The sequence below is a fragment of the Homo sapiens genome, chromosome 1, assembly GCF_000001405.40.
Source record: "Homo sapiens chromosome 1, GRCh38.p14 Primary Assembly".
Classification (NCBI taxonomy): Eukaryota; Metazoa; Chordata; class Mammalia; order Primates; family Hominidae; genus Homo; species Homo sapiens.
The window spans coordinates 32153385-32166771 of NC_000001.11; the positions used below are offsets into that span (position 1 = coordinate 32153385).

The window sequence follows — 13387 nt, forward strand, 5'->3', positions numbered from 1 at the left end:
GTGAAACCCCGTCTCTACTAAAAATACAAAAATTAGCCGTATTAGGCGTGGTGGCAGGCACCTGTAGTCCCAGCTACTCAGGAGGGTGAGGCAGGAGAATCATTTGAATCTGGGTGGCATAGGTTGCAGTGAGTCAAGATGGTGCCATTGCACTCCAGCCTGGGCAACAAAAGTGAAACTCTGTCTCAAAAAAAAAAAAAAAAAAAGAAGAAAAATATTTAAAAATACAGAAACAAACATTTTTCACAGAAGGGGAAACATATAGCTAATAACAACATGAAATCTAACCTCATTAGTAATCTGGGATATGCAAATAATCATCTCTGTGAAATACTTTATGACACCCAGTAGATTGTCAAAAGTATTGGTCAAGATATTTGTCAGTGGCAGTACTATGGAAGACAACTTTGGCACTAGCTGGTCAAGTTAACATTTATTTACCTACAACTGAGTAATTCACTGCTTAGAACAGCAGTTCTTGGCTGGACGTGGTTGCTCATGCCTATAGTCCCAGCACTTTGGGAGGCCAAGGCAGGTGGATCACCTGAGGTCAGGAGTTTGAGACCAGCCTGGCCAACATGGTGAGACCCCGTCTCTACTAAAAATATAAAAATTAACCAGTTGTGGTGGTGTGCGCCTGTAATCCCAGCTACTCGGAAGGCTGAGGCAGGAGAATCACGTGAGCCCAGGAGGCAGAGGTTGCAGTGAGTCGATACCGTGCCACTGCACTCCAGCCTGGGTGACAGAGTGAGACCCTGTCTCAAAAAAAAAAAACAGCATTTCTCAAAGTATGGTCTGCAGACCCCTGGGATTACGGGTGGGAGCCACTGTGCCTGATGTGTTCCTGTTTTATTAAAGATTAAATTCTGAAGCAATAAAAGTTACAGGAGCTTGTCCAAGGTTGCACAGCTAACAAGTAGAAGGGTCAGGATGTGAACCCAGACAATCTGTCTCTAGGGCCCACACTTTTAACTACTAAGCTTATACCAATTGCTTTAATACCACCTGTTTAGCAAGCTTATTGTAATTAAAAGATACTGGGGCTGGGGGGTGGGTAGAGATGTCAGGTGCTATTGAGAGCTCCCAGAGAGCTGTATTCCCCCCAGAGTAGGGGAGGGTGAAGGGTGGGTAGGGATAGAAGTCTAGTGAAAAGGAAATGCTGTCCTCTCAAGAGTTTTTGGCAGTGTGTATCTTTTCTTCTAGAGACCATGGCGAGCCCAGGGAAAGACAATTATCGAATGAAGAGCTATAAGAACAATGCTCTAAACCCTGAAGAAATGAGACGAAGAAGAGAGGAAGAGGGCATTCAGCTCCGGAAGCAGAAGCGAGAGCAACAAGTGAGTTAATGGGAGTATTCTCAAACATACTATTCTGGGAAACAAGCCCCTATGGTTGGCCTCCACCATGCACCCTGACTTGCCCTGTAGAAAAGTAGCTTACTAGGTGGGCATGGTGGCTCATGTCTGTAATCCCAGCACTTTGGGAGGCCAAGGCAGGCAGATCACCTGAGGTCAGGAGTTCAAGACCAGCCTGGCCAACATGGTGAAACTTCATTTTCTCTACTAAAAATACAGAAATTAGCCGGACGTGGTGGCATGCGCCTGCAATCTCAGCTACTTGGGAGGCTGAAGCAGGAGAATTGCTTGAACCTGGGAGGCGGAGGTTGCAGGAGCTGAGTTCGTGCCATTGCACTCCAGCCTGGGCAACAAGAGTGAAACTCCATCTCAAAAAAAAAAAAAAAAAAAAAAAGAAAAGTAGCTTACTTACTGAGTGAGCTACTCATCCAGTTTCCTTTGTTGTAAATAAATGTTGGGAGCTTTGAGAAAGAGAAAACTGACCTTATCCCCTTTTCACAAGTTAGACCAACTTAGACATCATTTATGTCTTTACTGTAACATTCTAGTTCTAGTTCCTTGTTACCTTTTCTTTTCTTTTTTTTTTCTTTTTTTTTTTTTGAGACGGAGTCTGATTCTGTCACCCAGGCTGGAGTGCAATGGCACGATCTCTGCTCACTGCAACCTCTGCCTCCTGGGTTCAAGCAATTCTCCTGCCTTAGCCTCCCGAGTAGCTAGGATTACGGGCATGTACCACCACGTCCAATTAACTTTGTATATTTTTGGTAGAGACTGGGTTTCACCATGTTGGCCAGACTGGTCTCGAACTCCTGACCTTGTGATCTGCCCAGATCTGCCCGCCTCAGCCTCCCATAGTGCTGGGATTACAGGCGTAAGCCACCACGCCCAGCCTGAGACTATAATAATGCCTCACCATCTGCACTCCTACGCCACCCCGCCAACAGATTCAGTCACCTGATTATTATTATTTATTTATTTATTTATTTATTTATTTATTTATTTATTGAGACAAGGTCTCACTCTGTCACCCAGGCTGGAGTGCAGTGAGTGCAGTGAGTGACATGATCTCAGCTCACTGCAGCCTCAAGCTCCCGGGCTCAAGTGATCCTTCTTCCTCAGCCTCCTGCATAGCTGGACTATAGGCATGTACCACCACGCCCGGCTAATTTTTGTGGATTTTTTTTTTTTTTTTTTTTTTGTACAGACAGGGTTTTGCCATGTTGCCCAGGCTGGTCTTGAACTCCTGAGCTGAAGTGATCCACCTGCCCTGGCCTCCCAGAGTGCTGGGATTGCAGGCATGCGCCACTGTGCCTGGCCAACCTAACCTGATTTTGCCCACCCTTTTGCTATACTATCATTCCTTTTTTTCTTTTTTTTTTTTAAGACAGGATCTTGCCCTGTTGCCCAGGTTGGAGTACAGTGGCGTGATCTTGGCCCACTGCTGCCTCTGCCTCCAAGTCCTTGAATATCTTTTCCATGTTAGTAATCAATAGTCTCCTCTTCTCTTTGTGGAATACATTCCAGGACCCACAGTGGATGCCTGAAACTGCAGATATTACTGAACCTTACATATACTATGTTTTTTTTCATGTTTTCATCTTTTTACTTAAAGGAAGCACTTTACAGCTTCTCTTTGGCACATTTGAATTGCCAGCATCACTACTCTTGCACTTTGTGGCTATTACTAAGTAAAATAAGGGTTACTTGAACACAAGCAATTGCCACCTGATAACCAAGTTGGTTATTAAGTGACTAACTGGCAGCAGCGTATACAGCATGGAATGGATGCACTGGACAAAGGATGTTCACATCCTGGGCCAGACAGAACAAGATAGCGTGAAACTTCAACACTACTCAGAATGGCATGCAATTTAAAACTTATGAATTGTTCATTTCTGGAATTTTCTGTGTAATATTTTCAGACCACGGTTGACTGGATAACTAAAATAATAGAAAGCAAAACTGAATAAGGGGAGACTAATGTATAAAGCTTGGCCTCACTTCTCAGCTACTCTAGTATATCCTTGTCAGTTATGCCATAATTTAACATTGGATTGTTCTTTGTTTTCTTTGGTTCAGAGAGTACTCTTAACCACTGTCTCTTTACTTTCAGCTTTTTAAACGGAGAAATGTGGAGCTGATTAATGAAGAAGCTGCCATGTTCGATAGTCTTCTCATGGACTCTTATGTGAGCTCTACCACTGGGGTAAGGCCCCTGCATGTGCCTCAGGCTGACCTGGAAAACACCTGCTTCTAAGGACAGAAATTGGGCCGTTCACATCATCTACCAGCTTTGCCAGTAACCATGACAAGTTCTTTCCTCTGTGGACCCTTTCGTCAGCTTTAGGAGTCAACAAAGATTCAACTTTGTTAGATATATCTGAGGAAACATTTAAGAGAAGCCATCAGTTGCCTCAGAATTAGGAATCACTTTTCAAATGTCCCAACTTGAAGCACCTATAGATTAAACAGACCCCTTCTCCTGAGCCTATTATGCCATCCTCTTGCCCTCAGTTTTTTAGAAAACAGGATGCCAAGCAGTATTATGTGCTCACATCTGGCTCTAATGTTGGTTTGCAAAGTCCTAAACTTGTTTTATGTTCTAGGAGAGTGTGATCACAAGAGAGATGGTGGAGATGCTCTTTTCTGATGATTCTGACCTGCAGTTAGCAACCACACAGAAATTCCGGAAACTGCTCTCCAAAGGTACAAAGCCTGGCCCTTGTCAGAGAGGCCTTATATGATTTAGCCTCTTTTCTCTTCACTGATGTCATCAACTTACACGTGCCCTCACTCATTCTGCTCTAGCCCTACTGACCTTGGTGTTGCTTGTACAAGATAGACACATTGCTACCTTCACACTGGATACTTCCTCTGCCTGATGTCCTCTATTCCCAGATATCTTTGTAGCAACTCCCTTACTCCTATGATTAAATCCCACCTTCAACAGTTTTATCTTTTTACCTTGCCCTACATATTCTCCTCCTCTCCCCCCATTATATTTATCTTCTAACATAATAAAATGACTCTTCCCACTAGGATATAAACTCTCTGAGGGCAGAGACTTTTGTTTTTGTTCCCTCCTGTGTCCTCTGTACCTAGAACTGTGTGGCACACCATAGGTACTTAATAAAAAAATTTAATGTATGATTGGAAAAATACCTCTTGTTTCAGTATATCAAATAGTCTTCCCAAGAAGAGAGTACTGGTCTTTCTTGAAAGGGAAATGTGCAGACCATGGTTGTTCATCCCTTAGGTGGTTCTCTCTCCCACACCTTTCTTTGCTTACATTTAGTAAGCCAAAGATGAACATTCTTAAATTAGGATTGGCTTTACTCTTTAACATTCCAGCTGTATTATACAGTTCAAAGACGAGTAGATATTGTTAAAACCACCTTACCAGAAGGGAGTTTGGGAATGTTTGTAAGGGTGGTCAGAAGTGTCTAAGAAGGATTGCAAGCTGACCCCCATGAAGGGATCAGCAAAAGCTTCTCCTGTGTTTTTATTTTCCCTTCTCCCTTATCCAGAGCCTAGTCCTCCAATAGATGAAGTTATCAACACTCCAAGAGTGGTGGATCGGTTCGTGGAGTTTCTGAAGAGGAATGAGAATTGTACATTACAGGTGAGGCCTGAAGGGAAGGGGTTTGTTTTGTCTTTTAATTTTTGGGGGATACATAGTAGGTATATATATTTATGGGATACATGAGATGTTTTGACACAGGCATGCAATTTGAAATAAGCAAATCATGGAGAATGGGGTATCCATTTCCTCAAGCATTTATCCTTTAAGTTACAAACAATCCAATTATACACTTTAAGTTATTTTAAATTGTGTAGTTATTATTGACTATAGTCACCCTATTGTGTTACCAAATAGTAGGTCTTATTAATTCTTTCTGGGTTTTTTTGTACCCATTACTTATCCCCATCCCACCCCCAGTCCCCCACTACTGGGAAGGGGTTATTAGATGAAAGCCCTACTTCCAAGAAATTGCAGTGGGATACTTCTATTGACATATCTCTCAGGAAGTTCAAAAGTAATGTTAGGAAACATTCAGGAGAAACCATCAGTTCCCTCACAGCCAGAATCTCTTCCTTAAAACAATTTCAAAGGAAAGGCACCAGACTATGATAGACTGATCATTCAGTTATAAATCAGAGGCTATAGTCCACTACCTGTGTGACCTGAGGCAAATTGTTTAGCCTCTCTGGGTCTCTTGTTTCAGAGATGGGTGATGGGTCAATCCATTGGAACTTGCCAGAACTCAGCTGAAAGGGACTTTGAGAGACCCATTTCATTCTAATCCTCATTTCAGAAATGAAGAAAGTGAAGCTCAGGAAATAAAAGAGTGACCTGGCAAAGGATGCATGGGTGTTGTGGTAGTGCAGGACTAAACCTGGGACCCTGGAAGCCCAATGTCTTATTCTCATCTATATCACATCACTGCATCTTCCCACTCTCTAAAGACGGGAGGGGAAAGGCTTGTATTTTATGTGTGTGTGTTTTAAATTCGTGGGCAAGAGGCTTGCTTGTGTTTTGTGAGGTTTTGTTTTGGTTTTTTAAATTCATGGGCAGGAGGCTTACTGTTCTGAGCCAGCTGATAGGCATGGCTGCTCAGTCTGAAATGACCTTTCAATCATTGCTTAATCTCACTTTCAGTTTGAAGCTGCCTGGGCTCTAACGAATATTGCCTCTGGAACCTCTCAGCAGACCAAAATTGTCATTGAAGCAGGGGCTGTCCCCATTTTTATAGAGCTGCTTAATTCAGACTTTGAGGATGTTCAGGAACAGGTAATGCTTAGATTTGGTGTGATTCTTTATAGTACCTGTGGTATAATAAAAAATATATTTGGTCTTTGTCCTGGTTCTTGGCACAGTGTTAAAACTCTTGGAATTTCCTGAGTGATAGGGGTGTCAAGTACAGATGGCCCCTGGGACTTGCAACTGGTATCTCAAGTTGGGGCAGTCTTGTGGGACTAACCTGCGGACTCTGCATTAACTCTAGGTGTTAGAGTCAGAATTGAATTAAATCGTTGGACACATGGTTGGTATCAGAGAATGGGTGGTTGATGTGGAAAAAACTCTATACATTTGTTGTTGGAAGTGCCATTGGAAAAAAGACACCACAGTACCCATATCTGAGTACCCACAAATCATGGAGATAAAGATACAACTTCCATTTCTCCCATTGAATTCTTACTAGTTGGATAGAATTGGAGAGTGGTAGTGGGCTCTTTTATAGACTTGGTCCAAGGCAGCTACAAGAGTGCAACTTTCGCCAGGCGCGGTGGCTCACGCCTATAATCCCAGCACTTTGGGAGGCCGAGGTGGGCAGATCACGAGGTCAGGAGTTCAAGACCAGCCTGACCAACATGGTGAAACTCCATCTCTACTAAAAATACTAAAAAGTTAGCTGGGCATGGTGGAGCTTACCTGTAATCCCAGCTATTCAGGAGGCTTGAGACAGGAGAATCACTTGAACCCGGGAGGTGGAGGTTACAGTGAGCAGAGATTGTGCCACTGCACTCCAGCCTGGGTGACAGAGCGAGACTCCGTCTCAAAAAAAAAAAAAAAAAAAAATGCAACTTTCTGATTACTTTCTCCTTTTCTGGGCGATATTGTTTTGGCTTCTGTGGCTATAGTACAGATGGCAGCCTGTCTTTCCCTGCTGAACCAGGAACTCCCAGGGATAGGTCATTGTAGAACAAGTGCTCAGTAAGAATTTCAATAGGGAGGTTACCTGAGCTTGTGTAGTATATTTGGGGCCTTGACATCATTCTCATCCTGGTGGGTACTCACTTTGCAGTTGTGGCTATAAAGTACTCACAGGAGTACCAAGCTTTGTGGGTGACAGTTTCATTATCCCCTTTTCAGGCAGTCTGGGCACTGGGAAACATAGCTGGAGATAGCTCTGTTTGCCGAGATTACGTCTTGAACTGTTCCATCCTTAATCCTTTGTTAACGTGAGTAATTATAATCATCTGTACCTGGGCGTCTACTGGGTGGCCACGTGGCAGGTCATTTGGGGGCAGCATACTTGATTCCTTAAGATGATAGGTAAGTGCAAAAACTATAAAAATGCATTCTGATTGCCAAAGTAAAAGATAGGTATCTTTGGAGATTGAGAAGGTTGTGGCCGGGCATGGTGGCTTATGCCTGTAATCCCAGCACTTTGGTAGGCCAGAGCAGGTGGATCCCTTGAGCCTAGAGTTCAAAACCAGCCTGGGCAACATGGTGAAACCCCAACTCTACAAAAAATACAAAAGTTAGCCAGGTGTGGTGGCAGGCACCTGTAGACTCAGCTACTTGGGAGGCTGAGGCAGGGAGGATCACCTGAGCCCAGGGAGATCAAGGCTACAGTGAGCTGTGATTGATCACACCACTGCACTTCAGCCTGGGCAAAAGAGTGAAAAAAAAAAAAGATTGTGCCACCCATCTGCCAAAAAGGATCTTGTTCCTCACTTCATGGCACTGCAGAACCTCATGTTAGTCATATCCTCATATCCTCCTCATTGTTGAGCCAGGGGAGAGAGGCAGGACTAGCCCACCTGGAAAAATCCAACCTTCTCTACAAAATGCATTGATTTGTTATGGGGTTTTGCATACATACATCGGACAGCTCTGTCGTAAATTATAGATCAAAGACCCCGTGAAGCGTCATTGTATCCTTCTCCCATCCTTCCCTCCGTACCCTTAGAGTAAACTATGCCTAAACCAAAACAGATGAATGAACTGTTCTTCAGAGACCACAGTCTCATAGCCTACCACTGTCACTTTCTTGGACCCTTCACAGAAAATTATTCCATACTGTGTGGCTAAAGCTCTCACAGTAGACCTATAGCTTTTATTTCTTAGACTTTTAGCTTTTATTTCCAGAGAACACCATTCCTTGTCCTGGACTTGTGGCCAGGGTTATGGGCATGATATATCCCACTTTAGAAGCTTTACAGGCTTACTCCAGATCTAGCCCTCTGTTTCGTCCCTATTATCTATGGTATTAACTAGCCACAGCTGGTCCTGAAATGAATACTCTGTATAGAGCCTGGCCTCCTAACCTATACCAGCTCTATTAACTTAGGTCTGTGAGTAGGAAGAAACAGGCTGCTAGAGTCTGAGAGGTCTCATTGGATTTGTCTCTGGGTTCATTGGCAACAGTCCTATGCCAAGGCCTCAGTGCTCAGGATCTGGCTTTGCTGTTTCCTTCAGACTCCTTACCAAGTCCACACGACTGACGATGACACGGAATGCAGTCTGGGCCCTGTCAAATCTCTGCCGAGGGAAAAACCCACCCCCAGAGTTTGCAAAGGTGAGAGAGCTACTTACTAGACCCTGAGTGACATCAGGTTCCTTCATATGGAGTTTTTAAGTCTTTGGGATACTCCTTGGAGTCTCAAATCATGGGAAACTGAAAGAAGCAATTGTTAGTGAAGTAGATGATCTTGTGTACCTGGATAGTAAAGTGAAAAGGTAGACCCAAATGTTTAATGTAGTAGCGATCCCTAGGGTCTGGAATTACTTGTGTGTGTGTATTGTGGGGGCGGTGGTTGCAATGTTAGGGTTCGTGATAGAGCTGATATAGTCTTGTTCCCCTGTGAGTCTTTCTCACTCTGCTTCCCACAGGTCTCTCCTTGTTTGCCTGTACTGTCTCGCCTACTCTTCAGCAGCGACTCGGACTTGCTGGCAGATGCTTGCTGGGCCCTTTCTTATCTGTCTGATGGCCCCAATGAGAAGATCCAGGCAGTCATAGACTCCGGAGTCTGCCGGAGATTGGTAGAGCTGCTGATGTGAGTGGTCTTAGAAGGGGTACAGGTTCTGGCTGGGCACGGTGGCTTATGCTTATAATCCCAGCACTTTGGGATGCCAAGGTGGGCGGATCACAAGGTCAGGAGTTCGAGACCAGCCTGACCAACATGGTGAAACCCCGTCTCTACTAAAAATACAAAAATTAGCTGGGCGCAGTGGCAGGCGCCTGTAATCCCAGCTACTTGGGAGGCTGAGGCAGGAGAATCATTTGAACCTGGGAGGCAGAGGTTGCAGTGAGCCGAGATCGTGCCATTGCACTCCAGCCTGGGTGACAGAGCAAGACTCCGTCTCAAAGGAAAAAAAAGAATCCCAGCACTTTGGGAGGCTGAGGCGGGTGGATCACAAGGTCAGGAGATCAAGACCATCCTGGCTAACACGGTGAAACCCCGTCTCTACTAAAAATACAAAAAATTAGCCGGGCGTGGTGGCGGGCACCTGTAGTCCCAGCTACTCGGGAGGCTGAGGCAGGAGAATGGCGTGAACCCGGGAGGCAGAGCTTGCAGTGAGCCGAGATCGCGCCACTGCACTCTAGCCTGGGCGACAGAGCGAGACTCTGTCTCAAAAAAAAAAGAAAAAAGAAAAAAAAAGGGTACAGGTTCCTTAAGCTTCTCCAGGCTCAGACTAAAGAGAGAGAATCAGCAGGGCCGAAAATGGTGTGCTGGCCTTCTGATCAGATCTCCCTCCTCTGTAGGCACAATGATTACAAAGTGGCTTCTCCTGCCCTGAGAGCCGTGGGTAACATCGTCACTGGGGATGACATCCAGACCCAGGTAAGAAAGAGGAGGGTGCAGGATCTTAGACCAGCTATGGAAGAGCTTGTGGAGAGCTGCCAGTGGACAAAAGCCTTTCCTGCAAAGGGCTGTGGTCCTGATGGGAGGCACTATGGTCTAAGGAAGTAAGTGTGGGCTTGAGTGAAAAGTTCCAGCTCTGTTATTCTCTAAACAGTCATGGGAAACTTGGTTCCTTCTTTTCTTACATAAATTGGGAACAAATCATCGTCTAATGGGTGAAGGAAAACTAAGTGGAATAACTGGACTTACCACCTGGGACATTGTGAGTTAGTTAAGTTTGAGTCATGGTCCCTTTGAGATACTGAAAGCTATGGAACTCCACCCCTGCTTCCTAGATCTTTAAGGTCTCATGGATATCATGGACCTTGGAATAATCTTTTGTAAATAACCCTTCTGGTGAAGGCATAGTAAACAAAGTTCCCCTGCTCAAAGGCTAGAGATTTGGGTATTCTTTGGGTTTTGAGTAGCGAGCATAATTCTGTGGGATTCTGGACAGGTTTCTTAACAGGTGAGTAGTGTCACTCAAACACTCAAACCCACATGCTCATTTTCTGGGTTACTTTGTATATGTATATGCATGTACTTTAAAATACAACATAAAATTTACCATTTTAACCATTGGCATAAAGTACATTCACATTGTTTTTCCGTTATTGCCACTAGCCAGCTACAGAAATTTTTTATCATCTCAAACTGAAACCGTACACATTAAACAGTAACTCCCCATTCTCCCTTCCCCTAGTGCCTAGTAACCACCATTCTATTTTCTGTATCTGTGAGTTTGAGTGCTCTAAGTACCTCATGTAAGTGGAATCATACAGTGTTTATTCTTTCTCGTCTGGTTTATTTCACTTAGCCTAGTATCTTTAAAATTCGTTCATGTTGTAGCATGCATCAGAACTCCTTTGAAAGGCTGAATGATATTCCACTGTATGTATATACCATATTTTATTTATCCATCAATAGACATTTGGGTTGTTTCCACCTTTTGGCTATTGTGAATAATGCTGCTATGAACATTGGTGTACAAATATTTGTTCAAGTCCCCGGTATATACCCAGAGTGGAATTGCTGGATCATGTTCTAATTTTATGCCTAATTTTTTTGAGGGGACACCATACTGTTCTGCACAGCTGCTATGCCATCTTACATTCCCACCAACAATGCAGCATGTTCCAGTTTCCCCACAGCCTTGCCAACAGTTGTTATTTTCCGTTTTTTGTTTTTTGTTTTTTTTTTGATAATACCCACCCTAATGGGTGTGAAGTGATATTTCATTGTGGTTTTGATTTGCATTTTTCTAATGATTGGTAATGTTGAGCATCTTTTCATATGCTTATTGGCCATCTGTGTATTTTTTTTTTTTTTTTGGACACATGTCTATTCAAGTCTTTTGCTCATGTTTTAATTGGGTTGTTGAGTTTTCTGGTTGTTCAATTTTAGGAGTTCTTCATATGTTCTGGATATTAATCTCTTATCAGACACATGTTTTGCAAATATTTTCTCTTGTTCTGTGGTTTTATCTTTTAACTTTGGTGTCTTTAAAAAAAAAACTTTTAACTTATTTAATTTTTTAAAATTGAGACAGAGTCTGTCTTTGTCACCCAGGCTAGAGTGCAATGATGCCATCTCGGCTCACTGCAACCTCTGCCTCCTGAGCTCAAAGCAGTCCTTCCACCTCAGCCTCCCAAGTAGCTGGGACTACAGGCATGCACCATCATGCCTAGCTAATTTTTTGAATTTGTTTTTTTTTGGAGAGACAGGGTTTTACCATGTTGCCCAGGCTACTCTTGAACTACTGGGCTTAAGCAATCCTCCCACCTTGGCTTCTCAAAGTGCTGGGATTACAGGCATGAAGCCACCTCACCCAGACCAACTTTCTTTTCTTTTTTAATTTTTTTTAGAGGGTCTCACTATGTTGCCCCAGCTGGCCTTGAACTCCTGTGCTGAGGTGATCCTACTGCCTCAGCCTCCTGAGTAGCTGGGACTGCAGGTGCATACCACTGTGCCCAGCTTACTCCAATGTCTTGATGCACAACAGTTTTTCATTTTGATTAAGTCCAGTTTACCTGGGCCAGGTGCAGTGGCTCATGCCTGTAATTCCAGCACTTTGGGAGGCTGAGGCAGGAGGATCACTTGAGCCCAGAAGTTTGAGACCAGCCCTGCAACATGGGAAGACCCTGTCTCTACAAAAAAAAAAAATGTTTTTTAATTAGCAGAGTGCGGTGGCACCCTGCTACTCAGGAGTCCCCAGCTACTCAGGAGGCTGAAGTAGAAGGATTGCTTGAGACTGGGAGGTCAAGGCTGCAGTAAGCCATGATCATGCCACTGCACTCCAGCCTAGGCAACAAAGTGAGACCCTATTTAAAGAAAAAAAATGAAGCCGGGCACAGTGGCTCACACCTGTAATCCCAACACTTTGGGAGGCCGAGGCAGGCAGATCACCTGAGGTCAGGAGCATGAGACCAGCCTGGCCAACATGATGAAACCCCATCTCTACTAAAAATAGAAAAATTTTCCGGGCGTGGTGGTAGGCGTCTGTAATCCAAGCGTCTTGGGAGGCTGAGGCTGGAGAATCACTTGAACCTGGGAGGCGGAGGTTGCAGTGAGCCGAGATTGTGCCATTGCACTCCAGCCTGGGCGTCAGAGCGAGACTCTGTCTCAAAAAAAAAAACAAAAACAACAACAACAACAACAACAACAAAAAAACATAAAAAAAATTAAAAACAGTTTAATTTTTCTTTTGTTTCCTGTGCTTTTGGTGTTCTAGGTCATTCTTAACTGTTCAGCCCTACCTTGCCTTCTCCACTTGTTGAGCAGTCCCAAGGAGTCAATCCGGAAGGAAGCTTGCTGGACTATTTCAAATATTACTGCTGGCAACAGGGCTCAAATACAGGTAAAACAGGCAGGGAAGTCAAGGGGCATGGGAAGTCATAGGAACTTGGGAGGTTGTTGGAATATTTGCTTTCAGAAGAAAGAATTTGTTTCCCTTTAAAAATAGGAGTCAATTGGCCAGGCACGGTGGCTCACGCCTGTAGTCCCAGCACTTTGGGAGGCCGAGGTGGGCAGATCATGAGGTCAGGAGTTTGAGACCATCCTGGCCAACATGGTGAAACCCCATCTGTACTAAAAATACAAAAATTAGATGGGTGTGGTGGCGGACGCCTGTAATCTCAGCTATTCGGGAGGCTGAGGCAGGAGAATTGCTTGAACCCGAGAGGCAAAGGTTGCAGTGAGCTGAGATCACGCCACTGCACTCCAGCCTGGGCAACAGAGCGAGACTCCGTCTCAAAAAAAAAAAAAAAAAAAGAGGGGCTGGGCATGGTGGCTCATGCTTGTAATCCCAGCACTTTGGGAGGCTGAGGTGGGCGGATCACAAGGTCAGGAGATCAAGACCATCCTGGCTAACGTGGTGAAACCATGTCTCTTCTAAAAAT

The 13387-nt window shown here is 44.3% G+C and overlaps 1 protein-coding gene across 5 annotated transcripts in view; it reads left to right on the forward strand.

The window, feature by feature from the left end:
* The window catches only part of KPNA6 (karyopherin subunit alpha 6), a 68508-nt gene that overhangs the window by 45329 nt on the left and 9792 nt on the right, over nt 1-13387 (forward strand). For all 5 annotated transcript variants that reach the window (XM_024446165.2, NM_012316.5, XM_024446166.2 and 2 more), the window contains 10 exons: nt 1204-1337; nt 3469-3561; nt 3962-4061; nt 4883-4977; nt 6016-6147; nt 7231-7319; nt 8563-8662; nt 8977-9140; nt 9851-9929; nt 12721-12846. In XM_024446165.2, coding sequence (XP_024301933.1) covers nt 1209-1337; nt 3469-3561; nt 3962-4061; nt 4883-4977; nt 6016-6147; nt 7231-7319; nt 8563-8662; nt 8977-9140; nt 9851-9929; nt 12721-12846 — 1107 coding nt within the window. In that variant the 5' untranslated portion in view covers nt 1204-1208. The remainder of the gene's footprint in view (nt 1-1203; nt 1338-3468; nt 3562-3961; nt 4062-4882; nt 4978-6015; nt 6148-7230; nt 7320-8562; nt 8663-8976; nt 9141-9850; nt 9930-12720; nt 12847-13387) is intronic.